General features: G+C 49.2%; 2 protein-coding genes and 1 long non-coding RNA gene across 7 annotated transcripts in view, besides 3 other annotated features; 1 reads left to right on the top strand and 2 right to left on the bottom strand.

Annotated features, from left to right (window-relative positions):
• On the bottom strand, positions 106 to 4514 carry BOLA3-DT (BOLA3 divergent transcript). Of its 3 annotated transcripts, NR_045636.1 has the most exons (3): positions 4272 to 4514; positions 4017 to 4145; positions 106 to 3797 (listed from the first exon to the last, which is right to left on the bottom strand). It is a non-coding gene; the product is annotated as a BOLA3 divergent transcript (long non-coding RNA). The 3 variants fall into 3 exon arrangements; NR_045634.1 differs by having other exon boundaries at positions 4017 to 4514; NR_045637.1 differs by having other exon boundaries at positions 3441 to 3601; positions 4017 to 4514.
• Positions 4170 to 4829: an enhancer, noted in NCBI's record as "H3K27ac hESC enhancer chr2:74374793-74375452 (GRCh37/hg19 assembly coordinates)". NCBI's record gives its function as "activates a minimal SCP1, AML or CMV promoter by ChIP-STARR-seq in primed H9 embryonic stem cells {active_cell/tissue: H9 hESC(primed)}" and the evidence as "EXISTENCE:reporter gene assay evidence [ECO:0000049][PMID:30033119]".
• Positions 4170 to 4842: a biological region, named in NCBI's record as "H3K27ac hESC enhancer GRCh37_chr2:74374793-74375452".
• Positions 4363 to 4842: a silencer, noted in NCBI's record as "silent region_11652". NCBI's record gives its function as "represses an Ori minimal core promoter by ATAC-STARR-seq in GM12878 lymphoblastoid cells {active_cell/tissue: GM12878}" and the evidence as "EXISTENCE:reporter gene assay evidence [ECO:0000049][PMID:35858748]".
• BOLA3 (bolA family member 3) lies at positions 4583 to 17095 on the top strand. Of its 2 annotated transcripts, NM_212552.3 has the most exons (4): positions 4583 to 4674; positions 7192 to 7306; positions 10135 to 10223; positions 16837 to 17095. In NM_212552.3, the coding sequence occupies exons 1-4, from the start codon at positions 4621 to 4623 to the stop codon at positions 16900 to 16902; spliced, it is 324 nt and encodes a 107-aa protein (NP_997717.2). In that variant the 5' UTR covers positions 4583 to 4620; the 3' UTR covers positions 16903 to 17095. The 2 variants fall into 2 exon arrangements, with proteins under 2 accessions (NP_997717.2, NP_001030582.1); NM_001035505.2 differs by lacking the exon at positions 10135 to 10223.
• Positions 16997 to 19165, bottom strand: part of TET3 (tet methylcytosine dioxygenase 3) — a 151868-nt gene continuing 149699 nt past the window's right edge. For both annotated transcript variants that reach the window (XM_024452745.2, XM_024452746.2), the window contains one exon: positions 16997 to 17254. In XM_024452745.2, the coding sequence (XP_024308513.1) occupies positions 17252 to 17254 (3 nt within the window). In that variant the 3' untranslated portion in view covers positions 16997 to 17251. The remainder of the gene's footprint in view (positions 17255 to 19165) is intronic.

Below are 19165 nucleotides of genomic sequence, written 5' to 3'. Positions count from 1 at the left end.
GGAAAGTTATCTTTGCATATCATTTAGTAGCTAAAATGTTTTCTTAGCCGTTAAAAAAGGAAGTTCCTAAATGAACTAAGTATCATACTACTGGGACCGAACCCCTAAGAAACAAACTATGTCTCTGATAGTGGCTAAAACCCATCCCAAACAAAAATACGTGGTCTCCTTCCTGCCATGCAAATCAGGCTCCAGATCTCTTGTACATTCCTGGTTGTGCGATAGTAGAGTTAAAATTAAAAACTTAATGAATGTGGCTAAACAGTACAAGTTAACACTAATTTTATTTTTTTGAGCTGGGGTCTCTGTTGCCCAGGTTGGAGTGCAGTGGCACAGTCTTGGCTCACTGCAACCTCCGCCTCCCAGGCTCAAGTGATCCTTCTTTCTGAGCCTTCTAGTAGCGGGGACAACAGGCACACACCATCATGTCCGGCTAATTTTTTGTATTTTTTGTAAATATGGAGTTTTGCCATGTTGCCCAGGCTGGTCTCGAACTCCTGAGCTCAAGCAATCTGCCTGCCCCGGCCCCAAAGTGCTGGGATTACAGGTGTGAGCCACCACACCTGGCCTAGTTACTAGCAATCAGTTTTGGATTTCTTTTGACATTTTCAGTAGACTTAAAATCAATCACAAAAATGATAAGTTTGTAAGGGTATCTAATGGCTATTTCAAACTTTGTAAAATAATAGAATAACTCAGATAATCTTTGGGAGAGCCAGACTCTGGGTTTGAACCTGCACAGCCAGAAACAATGTCCAAACTATGCCATGGAGCTTCTCTGACAAATACCCCATTGATGTCCCCACTAGGTATGGACATTACAGCCTGCACTGTCCCCACTTAGGTGTGGACACTAGTCTGCACCTTTATCGCTGGCCACTAGATGCCAGTCTGCCACAACACCTCAAAAGCTAGCTACCTTTTTAGCTTTTTACTGGAGTCCTTTAGTAGGTTATCTCATTTAATCCATAAAGCAACCTGGAGAAAGTGACTGCAATTAAGAGGTATGCCAGAAATATTTCAGTATTCTTTAGACCATGCCACATAAGCTCAGACAAGTTCAAATAGCTAGTATATAGCAAGTCTGTTTCTCTGGATTGCATTTGCAAAAATTCTGCATGCTCAGCAGTGCTAGGAAGCTCTATAAAATGATGGTGCAACGAAAAATCATCCCAATGAGGTTAAAAAAGGAGATGCATCCAAAGAGTTCCTACCTAATGAATTTTCTGAGTTTCAGATGTATATATGTGTATGAAAGCTATGAGTGATCATGGACCAATACAACTGAAGAGAACAAGAGAATCTCGAGGTCACAGCAAAAAAAAGTAAGATGCAGAAAGGATTGACATTTCCTGGGACTAAATGCATTTCACTTTTGTTTTAATCACAAAGTAAAACTTACTTATTTGCTTCTGTCAAAAAAAAAAAAAAATACTAGAACTGTTGGAACTAATTTGGAAGCCCAAGATTCGTCAGATCGTCCTGCAAATCCTTTTCTAGAAAAGTTCAAACTTAGACCTATGGAGCGCAAATTGCTGAGCCTCTATCAGTTCTGTTCAGTAATTACAATGCATGCACTTTTTGTCCCATATTGGGCTGCTGACAGATGACTCAAGCAAGGCTCTGTCCTCAGGGAGCTTATAAACCAGTGAGAACAGACACATACATAAATTGATAGTTGTAAAAGGCCATAAGTGCAACAAAAGTTACAGGTAAGTTGCGGGCCCTAAGCTTACTGTGAGGCAGTCAGAGGTGGCTCTTTGGAGAAGACAAGGCTTGAACCTTAAAAGGTGGGCAACTGCATAACCAAACTTGTAGCATAGCTTATGAAGGGAGGTGCAAGTATAATATTACTGAAGGGTAGATTTCAGTTGGACAGGTAGATAGTGGTTAAATCATACAAAAGAACTTGAGAGTTTTGCCTGTAGGTAGGCGATGGGGAATCTGAAGGATTTCAAGTAGCAAATGTTTTCATTTCATTTTATTTTATTTATGTTTTTTAGACAAAGTCTCACTCTGTCGCCCAGGCTAGAGTGCAGTGGCTCAATCTCGGCTCACTGCAACCCCTGCCTCCTAGGTTCAAGCGATTCTCCTGCCTCAGCCTCCCAAGTAGCTGGGAGTAGAGGCATGTGCCACCATGTCTGGATAATTTTTGTATTTTTAGTAGAGATGGGGTTTCACCATGTTGACCAGGGTGGTCTTGAACTCCTGACCTCAGCTGATCCGCCTGCCTCAGCCTCCCAAAGTGCTGGGATTACAGGCATGAACCACTATGCCCGGCCTAAATGTTTTCATTTCAGATGGCTCTGACAGCCTAGGAGGAACTGAAGATAAGAGGAGGAGAATGGGGCAGAGAGTAGCTCAGAGTAACAGATAGTATGGGCAACTGTTAAATTATGGGGAAGAGGAAGGTTAGAGATAAGCAAAAGTACCTTTTTTTTTTTTTTTTTTGAGACAAAAAGCTGGTAGAAAGGCCACCGCAGCCAGCTAATGGTTTGTATTTTTAGTAGAGATGGGGTTTCGCCAATGTTGGCCAGGCTGTTCTCGAACTTCTGACCTTGGGTGATCAGTGCGCCTCGGCCTCCCAAAGTCTTTGGATTACAGGTGTGAACCACCTTGCCTGGCCAAAAGTACCATTTTAAATAAAGAAAAGGAGGAATTCTGCCAATACAAATCTGTGAGCTTGCCATGGGTCACTTGGTTACAAGTGACAAACCCATTAAACTGCCTTCAGTGCTCATTTCCAGCATTGCTGGTTTCCAGCTGTACAAAGTCAAACATTTGTCTCCTTTTATCTGTTTTCTTCTTTATCTTGCTTCATTTCCAAAGTAGTTCTCCCTGCATGGTTGCAAAGATGGTTGCCAGCAACTCCAGCCTTTCTACCAGCTTAGCAACATAGAGGAAAAAGATCAATGTCTGGGAACAACAGACACTGGGGAATACAAGACTGGGGAAGGAGGAAGGGGGCAAGGGTTGAAACTACCTATTGGGTACTATGCTCATTACCTGAAGGACGGATTCGTTCATACTCCAAACCTCAGCACCATGCAATATACCTCTGTAACAAGCCTGCATATATACCCCCGATTCTAAAATAGAAGTTGCAAAAGGAAGTCCCTCTACCAATTCTCATTGGTCTGGCTCAGACCATGGGGCCGACCCTAAACCAGTCTCTGATTAGCCAGACTTGGGTCCTGTTTCCATTCCTAAAGCTGGGGATAGGTGCGCCTCATCTAAACCATGCTGTCTGAATAGCAAGGGAATGGTTCACCATTACTACCCTGCTTGAGAAAAAATTTTTTTGACAGTTTAAATTGCATCATTGACAGCAATGAAGAAAACTTAGCAAATCATCTCTAAACATTTTAAAAGAATGAAGCAGAAAATGTAAGACAGGCTAGTAATTGATCCAAAGGAGAAATTCTGAAGGCCAGAACATAGGAGTCAGTTAATACTGTAATAAATAAATTAGACAATATCCATATATAACAACTATAGGTCCAATCCATCCAAGTGCAACGCTGAAGGGACGTATTGATTGCATAGGCCAGAATGTTGGCAAAAAGCTGGTAAATCCTGCAGGGTGCCACCAGACCGCGTGCTGCAAACAAATAACAGCTAGAGAGAGGAGAGGCTTGGTTGAATTTCGGCCTTGACTGGTCTGAAGACTCCAGAGGCGGGACGAATTTGCGGACAGTTCTACCCCATCCCACATGGCGTCAGCTTCCCTTCCATTCTCATGACTCCATGGTCCATGGCTCCAACCTGGGCCTCTGTTAGGCTGTGTCCTGTGGCACCTTAAACTCAGGCAAATTAAGAACTGTTCGTGGACTCTGCTCAGCCCCCACCTAACCCTCCATCCAAGTCATTGTCCAAGCCAGAAACTGGAGTCATCTCAGATACCTTCCCACTCACACCTCCACATGCAGTCGCTCGATTCCATTCACCTCCCAAGTGTCTCAGTTCATTCTTCCATCCCTCCCGCCACTGGTTTAGTTAGGCCCCTCCATTCTCACCTGGACCATCGCGGTAGCCTCGGAGCTTCTGACTGTGTCTCTGGTTGCAGCCCCTACACGCTCTCTTCCTTACAGGAGCGGAGCGATCTTTCTCAAGCGCGAATCAAATCCTTCCACGAGTCCCCGCACCTGGAGCGAAGGCCAAACTCCTCAGCTTAGAAGCTAGACTGCCAGAGTAGGGAGTGGGAATGGAAAAGTACATCAGGAGCACGAGGGGTATTCGGATGAGGGAAGGCCAGTATAGGGCGCCGAGACCTTGGAGTGTTTCTGAGCTGAGGAGGAATGAGACTTTCACGCGGGCAAGGGGACCCTATCCATGAAACAGGCCCTGGGGAGACTGAAGGAGAGCGGCGCGAGCGAAGGCAGAGGGCGGGGCCCCGAGGTCGGCAGGCGCTGCAGTGTCGGGGGTGGCGAGTCAGCCAGGGCCAGGGGATGGCGGGGTGGGGCCGGAGCCAGGCGACCGGAGGCCTCCGGGGCGGGGCCGGGAGGCTGACGGCCTCCGGGCGGCAGGGGGCGGCCTCTCCCACGGCGGCGGCTCTCGGTCCCCCGCTCCGCGTCTTTCGGGCATACAGTGACCTCGGGCGGCGGGTCACGTCGGCCGGGCATGGCTGCATGGAGCCCGGCCGCGGCAGCGCCTCTCCTCCGCGGGATCCGCGGGGTGAGCGTGGGCAGGGTCGGGGCTGCTCTCCCCGGGACGGGAGCTGCGGAGGGACCGCGGGGCCGGCGGCTGTCGGGGCTTGAGGACTGGCTCCCGGAGGGCGCGCGCGGCACTGGCAATGGGGGGCTCCTCTTCCTTTCTCTCATTCATTCTTTCATTCATTCATTCACTCAGCGACAACGGCATTCGAAATTTCAAGCTCTGGCGCGCTCTAGGGGAGCTCCCGAGCTGGGTGGAGGTTGGAGGTCAGGCGGACAGACACATGAACAGTCATAATACTGCGGGCACAGGAAAAAAAAAGGATTGGTTTACCGAGCAGAAGACAGGAGTCATAGCCCAGAGTCAAGGCGTGGGTGCGAGGGACTGCAGCGGGGCCGGGGCCTTGGGAAGGTCGACTGGGCCTCTGACCTTGATCCTCCTCCAAATCCCACACTACCGGAGCAGAACCCAAGCAGGGGGCACTTCCCACGCGCTCTCCTAATCTCTCCCCCTTTCTGAACCATCCTTTGCTTCAGCTCATACCATTCTTTCTCTTAACTTTCATTTTCCTTCTCCCCTGGTTCTGAACCTGCCTGCCCTGTGCATGAAGAGAAGTTCTTCCACTGCGGTGACTTTCAGCGTGGACAGTGATCATCTGGGGATGTCAGTTGATTGTTCCACTAAAGGCCGCTGCCCACAGATCCGCTAAGATGAAAGGCTTCTCCCAAGGATTCTGCAACGCTCACCTCTCTCACCCCTTAGTAGCTGCCGATTCTGTCTGCCATCTGGTTACTCTCTGCCTTTACCCTCAAGATTCTGCCCCCAGAAGCAGCTCCACCCCACCCTCACTCCTGGCAATCCTGTCCAGCCTCTCAACATCGAGTTTCTGTCCCTCCACACAGCAGGCAGACAATCACACTCTGGACCTTTCTCCTGTCTTGCATTTCTGTCCCTAATTGACTAGTTCTTCCCCTGCTCATTCATTCATCCAGCACCAAGTGCCTCTGAGGGCCTGCCCTGGGGTCAGCTCTGGGATGCTGCCGGACTCATTCCTGGCCTATAAGACCAGTGGTGAGAGAGCCAGTGCACAGCTCATTTTAAAGGAGGTGCTCTGAGATTCTGTGACACAGGACCCTGCTCTGAGCTATCAGGAAGGACTGAGGGGTAGAGGGGTGGGACCTTCAGCACCAGCACCCATGAACGGCCCTAGTGTCCTCCAACCTGTCATCCACGTCTAGTCAGGGACCAGTGCCCGGTGCTTCCATCATTGTAATGCCTCTTACTTGGGCATCTCTCCTGACTCGCTCCAGAAGGCACTGTTTCCTGCAGGTTACTTTGGTCCCATGAGCCTGGGTTCTATCACCTGGAGTCCCATCTCCTGTCCCATACAGTCCACAATCTTTAGCCTGGCATTCAAGGCCTGCCACACTCCATTCCCAGTCTGCCTTTTCAGCATGCACTCAGCCCAGCCAAGTGACTGCCGACCTGCTTTTCTGCTCCTTCACTACTAACTGTTGAGACGTGTTCCATCAGAAACATGGGCTCCCCTGGCCGGGCGTGGTGGCTCATGCCTGTAATCCTAGAATTTTGGGAGGTTGAGGTGGGTGGATCACCTGAGGTCAGGGGTTTGAGACCAGCCTGGCCAACATGGTGAAACCTCATCTCTACTAAAAATACAAAAATTTGCCGAGCGTGGTGGTGGGTGCCTGGAATCCCAGCTACTCAGGAGGCTGGGGCAGGAGAATCGCTTGAACCCGGGAGGTGGAAGTTGCAGTGAGCTGAGATTGTGCCACTGCACTCCAGCCTGGGTAACAGAGCAAAACTCTGTCTCAAAAAAAAAAAAAAAGGAAACACAAACACAGGTTCCCCCATGGTAGCCATTGGGGAAGGGGTGTTGTTGCCAATGGTAAACAACCTACAGATACTCCTTCTTCAGGTTCTTTCATAGAATTCTGACTTTGCTCCCAGTGAGAAGGAGTGCATGATGAAGGATAGCTGGCTAATTGAGCAGTGGGCTGTGAGGTCACATCCCACTGGGGAGGGCGAGACATGTTAATCAGGCCTAAAGGCGAGGGAGTGTGGAATTTGGCCCCACCATCCAGGGCAGTGGATGGCCTAGTGGTATGGATCTGAGGCAGGCTATCCAGCTTTTCTGGCTCTGTATCTTACCGAATTCAACCTTGGGCACATTACTGTGTGCCTCAGTTTCCTTACCTATAAAACTATCGGCATAATAGTGTCACAACATTATATGGAAGCAAACATCTCTTGAATTAGGTTTGGGGCCTCTTGTCTCTGGAGTCAAATTGAGTTATTAACAATCATCCTGTCCCCGCCAATAAAAGTTTATTCTGTGTTTTGGGGCACTTACATGGACTCCTGATACCACAGAGCCCCTCTGACATAACCCATGGCTGTGCTGGCGAGGGCTCAGGGGCCTGCCTTGCAGGGGGAATGGCAGGCGGGCCTGCACAGTGGCCCAGCTCAGGGGCAACAGCATCTTCCTCTGCCCTGACCTTCCTCTCTGTTCTGTGGCAGCTTCCACTTCACCATCGGATGTTTGCCACTCAGACTGAGGGGGAGCTCAGAGTGACCCAAATTCTCAAAGAAAAGTTTCCACGAGCTACAGCTATAAAAGTCACTGACATTTCAGGTAAGGTTTCTCTCACTCTTCCTACGGCGCTTGGATAAGATTTTGCCCTTTGGAAGGACAGAGGGTCAGGGGCTTGGAGGAGGGGGCTTGCTGCTGGTGAGTGGCTTCTCAAGATGTGTTGCTGCTGGACAGGTGGAGCTCGGCTGCCCCCACCTCATGGGATGGCAGTCAGGATTCAGAAATATCAGAGGGAAACTGAGGACAAGGCGCAGCTGGGAGGACTCAAGGTTGCCAGCCTGGCTCAGCTCAGACAAGGTCCCTCTCAGTCACCCTAGAGCTGAGGTCCACAGTCTGTCATTTGACTTTGAATAGGTTTTGCTCTAATTTTCCCCCATTCTTCTGACACCCTAGGATATCAGAGCTGGAGTGGACCCCAGAAAGATTTTCTTCAGCTGCTTTACTTTCCCTAAGAGGAAATGAGCCCAGAGAGGCCAAAGGAATTGCCTAGCTCCTCATAGGGAAGAGACAGTGGAACTGGAACCAGAACCGGGACTCAGGGGAGACTCTGTCCTAAGCCCAGTTACCAGCCCCAGCCAAGCGCTGTCCTTCTCAGGTGGCCACTGGCACCTAGAAGTTCAGGCTGGCAGTGTGTTAGGAGCAGGCTGGAGAAGCAACTTCTGCATCCACAGGATGGGGAAGATAGGCCCTTTATCCACACACACACACACACGTACACACAGAACGGCCCGTGGCGTGGGCCGCTGGATAGGCATCAGTCTGAATCTCTCCATACCCAGAGGCAGCCTTTGCCACTCAGCATTGCCATGAGGGCTCACTGACTTTACTGAGAACATAACATTTCCAAGGATTGAGGAGAAAGTTTAGAAAGTAGATTTTATTCTGGAAACCACAGGAAATAAATCAATCTAAAGATCTGCTGGGGTTTTGGAGCAGTGGCTCATGCCTGTAATCCCAGCACTTTGAGAGGCTGAGGCAGGTGGATCACGAGGTCAGGAGTTCAAGACCAGCCTGGCCAACATGGTGAAACCCCCCCGTCTCTACTAAAAATACAAAAATTAACTGGGCGTGGTGGCACACGCCTGTAGTCCCAGCTACTCAAGAGTCTGAGGCAGGAGACTTGCTTGAACCCGGGAGGCGGAGGCTGCAGTGAGCCAAGATCATGCCACTGCACTCCAGCCTGGGTGACAGAGCGAGACTGTGTCTCAAAAAAAAAAAAAAAAAATCTGCTGGGGCCAGGCGCGGTGGCTCATGTCTGTAATCCCAGCACTTTGGGAGGCTGAGGCAGGTGGATCACCTGAGGTCAGGAGTTCGAGACCAGCCTGGCCAACATGGTGAAACCCCATCTCAACCAGAAATACAAAAAAAAAAAAAAAATTAGCCAGGCATGGTAGCAGGCACCTGTAATCCCAGCTACTCAGGAGGCTGAGGCAGGAGAATCGCTTGAACCTGGGAGGCAGAGGTTGCAGTGAGCTGAGATTGCACCACTGCACTCCAGCCTGGGCGACAAGAGCGAAACTCTGTCTCAAAAAGAAAAAAAAAATCTGCTGGAATGGTACATCAGGTGAGGGCTCTGCAGGAGTCTTGGGGCAATGCTGAGGCCTTGATGTTACCAGGTCCTGAACTTGCCCCAGGCCCAGGGCAGAGTTAGAGCTTGACTCAGCTGTGGCTCTGCGCAGTCCTGGACAGAGTGCAGAAGGGGAGTTGAGGCTGAGAACCTGGGTTTAACCAAAACTTGGACTCCTAGAGCACATTATAAGAAAAACAGAACAGGCCAGGCGCGGTGGCTCACGCCTGTAATCCCAGCACTTTGGGAGGCCGAGGCGGGTGGATCACGAGGTCAGGAGATCGAGACCATCCTGGCTAACACGGTGAAACCCCGTCTCTACTAAAAATACAAAAAAAAAATTAGCTGGGCATGATGGTGTGTGCCTATAGTCCCAGCTACTCAGGAGGCTGAGGCAGGAGAATGGTGTGAACCTGGGAGGCGGAGCTTGCAGTGAGCCCAGATCGTGCCACTGCACTCCAGCCTGGGCGACAGAGCGAGACTCCATCTCAAAAAAAAAAAGAAGCAGAGCAAAGCCTGTTGAGTACGTTGCACCTCTCACACAATGGCCTGGCTCTGTAAATCATGCAGGGGACATATTCTTGCCCATGTTATTTCATGCTAGAGCTGTGTGTTTATCATCAGTCATCAGCACCAGCTCTCCAGCCAGGTGGAGGAAAGCTCAGGCAGGGGGTGGATGGCCCACCAAGCTCTGCCTCGAGGGCTTCACCAAAAAGTTCTCCCCCCAAAAGCCAGGATGAAATCCTGGATGCTGTGCTGTGGACCCAGCAGTGCCAGAGACAGCCCCGAGCAGCTCCATGCATAGCATGTTTGCTGTGTCCCTGGCTCTCATGCTCCCCTGGTTCTTTCCTTTCTTTGGACAGTATTACACAGTTTTCAAACCAAATTGTAGTGTATTTTTGCACTTCAAAAACACTGATTGTTGGTCCTTTGGAAGCTGGAACGCTGAAATTCCGTCCTTCTCATCCTCTTCCGTGGCGTTTATTGGCCTAGTGAAAGGAAACACTCTACACTCCCTAGGTTGTCCATGCTTTGTGCCTTATCTTTCCTGCCCACAAGTGGTAACCCTGGGTGGTGCAGCTGCCTCGCAAAAGGAAGAGCACATTTTGGATTGTGGCAGCCTGTCAGGAGGAGCATGTGGTCAGATTGGAAGCCATGATCTTTTCCTAATGGTCTTAGCAACTTTCCTTTGTGCTGAATGATAATATTCAGACCTTTGGATTGTACAGTACTTCAAGGATATATGGGACCATGGCTGCCATGACTTAATAATTGAAATGCTTTTGAATCATGTTTATTTTAGGAGGTTGTGGGGCGATGTATGAAATTAAAATTGAATCAGAAGAATTTAAGGAGAAGAGAACTGTCCAGCAGCACCAGATGGTTAATCAGGTCAGTAGAGGCAACAGTGCCCCTTGCCACTGGCCTTCAGCCTCCAAAGGGGCCTGCCAAGCAGGGATGGTGGTTTTTGCCGTCAGTTGCAGGAGAGAATAATGCAGTACTGCAATCACGAAACAGGACTCAAGACCTGAGAAAAATCGAATCTGGGAGTATCTGCATTGTGGCAAATAGGAATTTTATTCAAAATTGAAGACAGGCCTCCCAATAGTGATTTTGTATGTCCTCGTATAATGCTACCTATGTTTACTGTTATTGTCACATATTGATGAGTATATCTAAACACAGACACTGCTAAAAGATACATGTTTTTGTAGATCTGAAGAGGGGTTTTTTGGCCTCTCTTTGGGACTGCTTTACAGATGAGTCAGTTGATGCATGGCATGAGTGAGAATGGCTGCAGCTGCCCCAGACCCAATGACAGAACATTTGGGTTCTGGAACATCACGTTCAACCAGCCTAAGGCTCAGTTTAAATATTATCCATATTTATTTTAATTTGGAATTTATACCAACTTTGACCCTTGTACCTGTACCTATGAATTTGCCCCCTCACTGGGTGTGTTTGGCATCGTTCTGGAAGGTCTTGCCATTGTGAACTAGTGTTATTTTTGTAAAGCACAGCACTGGTAATGAGCGTCTCTTCGGTGGCCTCTCATGCATTGAGTTCAGGTGTCCTAGACTGCTGTTCACGCATTTCCCCCCACCCTTCTCTGCGTGCACCCTCCCAGCCGGCCTCTGCCCGCTGGTCTCTCTCTTTCTCTATCTGGGCCTTTGCCCAGATTGGACCTTCTGCCTGGGTTGCCCTTCCTCCCGTCCTCCACTCAGCTCAAATGCTGCCTCCCCTCCCTCCCCAGCAGGGAATGAATGCCGTTCCCCCACCCTCCCCGGCCCCCTTTTTTGGCTGTCGGTGTTTTCCGTCTTGTGTCCTGAAAACGGACATCTCTGCTGTCTGACCCTGCAACCTGTCAGCCCTTTGTGGACCAGTGCCCTTTGGGATCCATCTTTGTGTTTCTCATGGAACGTAGCCCTTTGCAGTGGATGTGACCCCTACAGCCCTAAGGCATGCTGGTGGTCTGCTGGGTGCTCCATCACTGAGCCCTCCCGGAAACTCTTGCAGTCCCATGTGATCTCTGGGGTCAGAATCAAGGCAGAAGACAAGACAGGGAAGACCTGGCTGGCCAGATGATCCCCAACCCGTGGCACTTTGGGTTTTATTCTCAGATCTGTACAAGCCACCTGGTGTGACTGGACCCATAGGTGCTGGTAATTTGAGTGTGTCCCTTGGCCTGAAACCACAGTTACAAGTGGTTAAGGAAGCAGTTTCTGGAATTGGACTTCCCACTTTCAAATCTGGGCTTTGCTACTTTCTAGCCATGTGACCTTGAGCAAGTTTTTCAACCTCACCCTTTGCCTCAGTTTCCTAATTGAGAGTAACAGTACTTGCTTCAAAGTGTTGCTGTGAGGATTCGTGATAAAGTACACGTTGACCACTGACAACACTGCCCGACACATAGTAAGCCTTCCATAAATGTGACCGCCATCACCATCATTGTCATCTCCAACACTGGAAGGAACCTGCACCAGTCTGGGGTGGGGAAGGGCTGTGATTCCCACAGTTTGGGGGAGTGTCACCTCACGGTCTTGGGATTAAGGTGTCTTCTGGCCCCCTATAGCAACATGTGCCTCTCCTCACACTTCCTGAGTAGACAGCCCAGTCACTTGTCTTTCATTCCCCCTCGAAAGCAGGCTTACTGCAGGACGGGGCTGTGTCCCCCACACCTAACAAAGGACCTGGCACATGGAAGGAGCCCAGTCAGTATTTCTTGAGAGTTTGCAGAGAGTGAGGAGAGTTGGCTTGTGTTTTCTTATTGGCTTACCCATGGAAATTATGTTTTAGTATCTGAAAGGCATTCTGTTTTGGAGAACTCACATCCTGACATTGGGGCACTTTTTAAAAATATATACTTCTTTTTTTTCCCTCCCACAGAGTATCACTCTGTCACCCAGGCTGGAGTGCAGTGGCGCTATCTCGGCTCACTGCAACCTCTGCCTCCTGGGTTCAAGCAATTCTTCTGCCTCAGCCTCCCAAGTAGCTGGGACTACAGGCGCCCGCCACCACACCTGGCTAATTTTAGTATTTTTAGTAGAGATGGGGTTTCACCATGTTGGCCAGGCTGGTCTCGAACTCCTGACTTCAGGTGATCCACCTGCCTCGGCCTCCCAAAGTGCTGGGATTACAGGCATGAGCCACCATGCCCAACCTTAAAAATATACATTTTTATATTTATATAGAGATGGGGTTCCACTATGCTGCCCAGGCTGGTCTTGAACTCCTTGACGATCCTCCTGCCTCGGCCTCCCTAAGTGTTGGGATTACAGGCGTGAGCCACTGTGCCCAGAGCAGCTGCATCCTGAGTTATTCTAGAGGCCTCTCCTCTGCCCCCAGCCAGAACAGCCCTTCTGGCTCAGGACTTGGGGGGGTCATGCAGCTCCACACTGGATGTCTGCAGGCAGCTGACATGAGGGGGTCCCCTGAGCCTGGCCACAGTACATTCTTAGGGGGCTGACACTTGTGTTAAAATATATGGACTTGGTCATAGGCAATTTTAGATGATTTAAGTCTGGAGATGTTGGCTTTGACAGTCGCATGAGAAGAATGAAAATGAAAATCTTCAGGAACAAGTCTGTTGGCCGGCAGGGTCTGAGCCGGGACCTGGAGCTGCCCTGCTCAGGACAGCTGTTGGGAATGGGGTTCTGACAGGCACTGCCCTAGGAGGAGGCAGAGACCTGGAATCAAGGGGAAGGCAAGGTGGTAACTGGACTCCACTCCCAGGGCCAGCTGGTCTCTTCAGGAGTGAGGTGGGGGTGGGGTAGGTGCCCCATCCAGATGCTCTCATGCCCAGGCTGTTTGGGTGGGGGCCTGGTGTCCTGACGGGGTGAAGCTTGCCTCATCTATTTTGCCTACTCACCCTATGCGTAGTAGTGTTCATCCTGGTGCTGTAGAGTCAGAATTTTCTGCCCAAAAGGCCTGAAAAGGTCGCCCAACCCATCCGATACTGGCATCCCTCCTGAGCTTCCCATCAGACTGTCCCTGCGGGATTCCCTGGAGGGGGCGCCCCCTGTCGGCACCCTCAGGAATGGACTCGTTCCTCTGGGACCCTGCTGCGCGGGGCTCAGCCTCTCCCAGGGCCCAGTGCGTCAGCCTTCTCTTGGGAAATACTTACTGGGCATTTGCTGTGGGCCACGCCCTAGGAGGCCTAGATGTTGAGGGTTTTGTACCAGGAGCACCTCCCTACCTGTCCTCCTGCCATCCTGGGGAGGTGTCAGCAAGGGTAGAGTAGGTAGGTAGCCACGGTGATCACTGAGTTGCCTTTTGAGGTGGACAGAGGTGAGATTTGAGCCTCATATTGGCAAATATTGCATGAGGCATTGACCACAGGTGCCCAGCGTCGTGCCTGCCACGTGGAAGGCAGTTGCTAAACAGCTGTTGCCGTCTCCCTGCCTCCGGCCTCTTTCCAGCTTAGGGGATTGCCCTCCCCTAAGGCGCCTCCACCAATGTCTTTCCCCTGCTCAGAGCCTTTACGTGGCTCCCCTGGTTGCCCAGAATCCAGTCCAGTCTTCCTAGCCTGGGATTGCCCATTCTTCATGTGATCTGCCTCAGTCTCCCTGACATGTGCCTACCTCAGTGAATCACGGGAGCTTCCCAGCCTCTCCTCACTTTGCTGTCCTGGGGCAGATGCCCTCTCACTCTTGCCTGCTCCACCTCTGGCTCCAGCTCCAGGGCTGCCTCCTGTGTGTGGCCCTTGTGCGTCCACCCCAGTCACCAGTGCAGTAGCTCACCTCGAACACCGGAAGCAGGGCTGTGCTGGCTTGAGTCTGGCAGTCCTCTGCTGCCCACATTCAGCCCATTTGTGTTGGACTTAATGCTACTTTCTCTTTCATTACTTTCCCACGCCTTTTCCTCTGTGTCCCCAGCACCTACTATAGTGCTGTGGGCATAGCAGGTGCTTAAGAATGGTTATCCAAGCTGCATCTTATTACCCATGGGACTTCGGCCAAGTCACTTCCCCCAGCAGGGCCCCAGTTTCCTTAACTGTAGAGTGACTCAGGTGATCTCTAAGACCCTGTGTGGCTGTAAGGGACTGTAGTGTGTTTTGGGAAGCCCTCAGGGGCTGCACAGAGAGCAGGGAGAAGGCATCAGGGAGGGGGAGTGCGCAGGGCCTGAGTGGGTGAAGCCCAGAAGGTTCCTCTGTCCAGGGTCAGTCACATGAAGGTGTGACTGGGCCCTCACCCAGCCAAGGTGGATGTAAGGAGGAGAGGCTGGTTGTGGTCCAGGCACAGACACAGTCTCTAGGGAGCATTCCACGCCTGCAGAGAGCAAGTGGCCCAGGGACCTTCGCCCAGTGATTATATGAGGCTTTTTCCAGGGACATTTCTGCCTGTCCGCAGAGTTGAGGGCCCTGCACTTGATTGTGGAGCTGGAGGGTGTGCAGTGTAGGCCAAGTGGGGCAGCTCATTGTCCCCCAACACAACAGGAGCTCCCGGATCAGGGCAAGTCAGGAACATGATGGAAACCAGGTATGGCCAGGACCTCAGGATACCTGGGTTCATATCCTGATTCCATTACTCGCTTGTTTGCTGACTTTGGACAAGGAGTAGACTCTATTTTTTTTTTTTAATTAAATAAGGGGATGGGACTAGATTGTGTCTAAGGATCTATAAACCTGACCACATATATTAGGATTCTTTATATTGTAAGAGACAGAGACCAAATTAAAATTAGCATAAGCAAACAAAGGGAATTAATTGGCCCATGTAACAAAATTATCTGGTTTCTGGCATATCTAGATTCCTCTCTCTCTCTGAGCTTTCAGCTTCTTTCCCTGTGTTGGTCTCCTTTTCTCCTGCTAAAGATGGGCTTTCTCTCCTTGGTGGGAAACACAGTCCATGGCCACCTCCAATTAATTTCATAGCATGTTGGCCCAAGAAACAAGGCTCCACTCTCAGAAATCCCAAGGGAGATTCTAAGTGGCCCAATTTGGGTCATGTGCCACCTCGGTCCAATCATAGGCTGGGCCAGTGGCACATAATGACCTCAATATCAGACCAATTGGTGGTTCCACCAGAATTATACAATAGAGTGGAAAAGGAATTATTCCCCAAGAGAAGGAGATCACTAAAGAGACTAGAAAAGAAAAATGTCCACTCTAGTATGATTATCAGATTTTGGCCTAGTATAAAAGGACCTTATTTCTTCCTCTGTACTGATTATAAACTTGAGCGGTCCAAGCCCCACTCTGATTCTGTAACCTCACTTTCTCCCAGCACTACAGGGGCCAAATATCTATTTGACTCTGGTAGTTCCTTCAGATTTGGGCTCTGACACCATTTGTAGCCTTAAAACAAGTCCCATAATTCCTTTGAAACTTTATTTCCTGCTCTGACCATTGGGGAATTTGTGCTAATTGGTATGATTTTAAAGAACTGCTCATTTTAAAGAATGCTTGATGCTCGAAATAACAAAACACAGGAAACAGCCTAAAAGTTCGCTAGGGGACAGGTTGAAAAGTTATAATGCATTCATATAATGGAATACTATGCTGATGCAAAAAAGAATCAGGACACCCATATATGCCTAACATAGAAAGATCTCCAAGATAGATGTTTGGGGGAAGAGCAAAGTGTAGAGCAGGGGTGTCCAGTCCTTTGGCTTCCTTGGGCCACAATGGAAGAAGAATTCTCTTGGGCCACACATAAAATATACTAACACTAATGATAGCTGATGAGCTTTAAAAAAAATTTCAAAAAAAATCTCAAAATGTTTTATGAAAGTTTACGAATTTATATTAGGCCACATTCAAAGCTGTCATGGGCCGTGGGTTGGACAAGCTTGGTGTAATGTGTTTGAAATTTTAACCATTTGCGTTTTAAAAGGTCATGGGGTGAAATATATTAGCTTGAATATGCCTGGTGAATATGCATTTTTAAGTCCCTGTAAAGATACACAAGAAACTGGCCAGGTGCAGTGGCTCACGCTTGTAATTCCGGCACTTTGGGAAGCCAAGACAGGCAGATTGCTCCAGTCCAGGAGTTCAAGACCAGCCTAGGCAATATAGTGAGACCCTGCCTCTACAAAAAATAAAAAAATTAGCCAGGCATGGTGGCATGTGCCTGTAGTCCCAGCTACTAGGGAGGCTGAAGCAGGAAGATTGTTTGAGCCCAGGAGGTGGAGTTTGCAGTAAGCCGATATCGCGCCACTGCACTCCAACTTCGGCGCTAGAGCGAGACCATGACTTAAAAAAAAAAAAAAAAAAAGATACACAAGAAACTAACAACAGTTCTTTTGGGAACAAGGGTGGAAACTGGGGAGATGGACAGGTATAGGAGGGAGACTTCCCTGAATGCCTTTTTGTACCTTTGAATCTTTAAATCATGTTAGATATTATTGATTTAAAAAAAATTGTTTTTCAAAAAAAGGAAAAATTGCTTAAACAAAGCACATACAAAGTCTCCTTCAGATGCAGAGCTGTATAAAAATACTCTCAGAGAATTACTGTAATCAACGTCAAATACACAAAAACTGATGATGCTGTTTTCTTACTTAGGCACTAAAAGAAGAAATCAAAGAGATGCATGGATTGCGGATATTTACCTCTGTCCCCAAACGCTGACCACGCCCTGGCTGCATAGATGCTGCTGCTTAAGACCTTGGATGAACTTCACTGACATCATTCTTCCCTAAGCAGTCACCAAAAAATTTATATATTTTGCTCATATACATTTCCATATTATAATTATAGAAGATGTATAATCTATTTAGATGTTAATTAAAGGAAACAAACAACTGAAGCTTTTGAAGGGTCATTAGTAATGTTTCAGGTTCCTTTATTTTGGCCAAAGGGGTCTTGTCTTTAGACAGTTCTGTCCTGCTACAGAGAGAGAATGCAGTGCCAGCTTTTTGTCTTTTGAAGAGGTTTTCCTGTTTCTTCCCCTCCACGAAACTGCTCAGGCCTCTTCATCTTACTGAAACAAAGAAAAGATCCTTTACTATTGCTGTTCTTTTCGTTTATCATTCTTTTCTTCCCCCTCTAAACTTCTTACATGAATGATCTTGGACCCTCAATTTCTTATGCTCTGAAATGGACTCTGAAAATTTGGGGGTGCCAGGATCCGGGTTCTTTTCCTGTGTTTGAAGATCCTCCACCCTTTGATTCTTGGTAGGAGGCAGAGCCCACCTCCCACGACAGAAGCTGAAAAGGCTTACTTTCCCTGCCTCCCTCACAGCTGAGGCACAGGCAGATATTCCAGACTCAGCCAATCAGATGGACCTGCCCTGAACTTGGGAGCAAGTCACACCGAGGAGCAGGGACAGTGGGACATCCATTCCTGCTGCAGCCATGGCTACAACATCTGGTGTTCTGGATGGTGGTAGTGGCAGCTGATTGAGTACTATAAGCTGCTCTCTCTGGAGTCCATGGTGGTGGTCACGGTGTCTGGGTCTGCAGTGTGATTTGGGCTCCAGCCACGGAGGCTTCCTTGTCCCTGTTTTCAGCAGCTGGCTCGCCAGTTTTCTCAGACATCTTGTGACTGCCCCCACAGACTTTCACTAAATTATTTTCTGCTCCCATCAGCCAGCACCCATGTTACCATGGCAGTGGGAGGTTGACCATCCACTCCTCTCTCACACTCCTTTGCCTTTCATGGAACCGACCACCAGAGAAGTTAGGGGTCACTATTGGTTCTGAAGGTACCTCCCTAAGAAATGAGGACATGAAGATATAACAACCTTGGGCCCCAGATTTTTGAGGGCAGAAAAAAATTTCAAATATTCTGTTCATACATTGTGCCCCCGTTTTGTAATTTTAAAATATTCTCTATCTGCACAGTGGGGTTGGGAAGGATTGGTACCTGCCAGGGCAGAACTGCCTCTTACAAGCAGTAGAATCACTCAGTTGTATCAGAGCTGAGAAGGTTGGGACAAAACAGAGAACTGTGCCTGAAGGCCCGAGCCACCTCTGAAACAGCTAGACACCCCAGGGACGGCTTTCAGGTGATACGGTGAGGAAACACCCAAGCTTGGAATCCCAGAGGCCAGCAGGACGGCAGTGGTCAGTGAGAATGGAGAGACCTCAAAATTAGACACACTGATTCCCTGCGTGGAACCTATTTGTCTTTCTCTTAAGAGTGGGCTCAATATGGTGATCTTCTAAAGAACAGAATAGGCCAGGCGTGGTGGCTCACACCTGTAATCCTGGCACTTTGAGAGGCCGAGGGGGGGGGATCACAAGGTCAGGAGTTTGAGACCAGCCTGACCAACATGGTGAAACCCCGTCTCTACTGAAAATACAAAAATTAGCCAGGCATGATGGCACGCGCCTGTAATCCCAGCTACTCAGGAGGCTGAGGCAGGAGAATCGCTTGAACCCGGGAGGCAGAAGTTGCAGTGAACCAAGATTGTGCCACTGCACTCCAGCCTGGGAGACAGAGCAAGACTCCGTCTCAAAAAAACAAACAAAAAAACAGAATAAAGTGAAAGTGACCTGCAGTTTCAGAGAATACATCATGTAGGGCACAGTGGCTTTCTCCTTGCTCTCTCCCTTGGATTGTTTGCTCTGAGGGAAGGCAGCCATGTTGTGAGGACACACAAGCAGCCTACAGAGAGGTCCATGTGGTGAGAAACTGAGGCCTTTTACCAACAGCCAGTCAAACAGACCTGCCAACAGTCAGCACAGAATGAGGCCTTCTGCCAGGACAAGAGCCATGTGGGTGAGCCACCTTGGAAGTGGATCCTTCAGCCACAGTCAAGCCATCAGAAGATTGCAGCCCCAGCTGGCATCCTGACTGCAGGTTGAGCCACAGCCACTCAGCTGAGCCACTCCCCAATTTCTGACCAAGAGAAACTGTGAAATACATATATGTGTTTGTTGTTTTAAG

This window comes from Homo sapiens, chromosome 2 (assembly GCF_000001405.40).
Source record: "Homo sapiens chromosome 2, GRCh38.p14 Primary Assembly".
Lineage (NCBI taxonomy): Eukaryota > Metazoa > Chordata > Mammalia > Primates > Hominidae > Homo > Homo sapiens.
The sequence above is the reverse complement of the archived record's forward strand: the minus strand, read 5'-3'. Positions and strand labels throughout refer to the sequence as shown.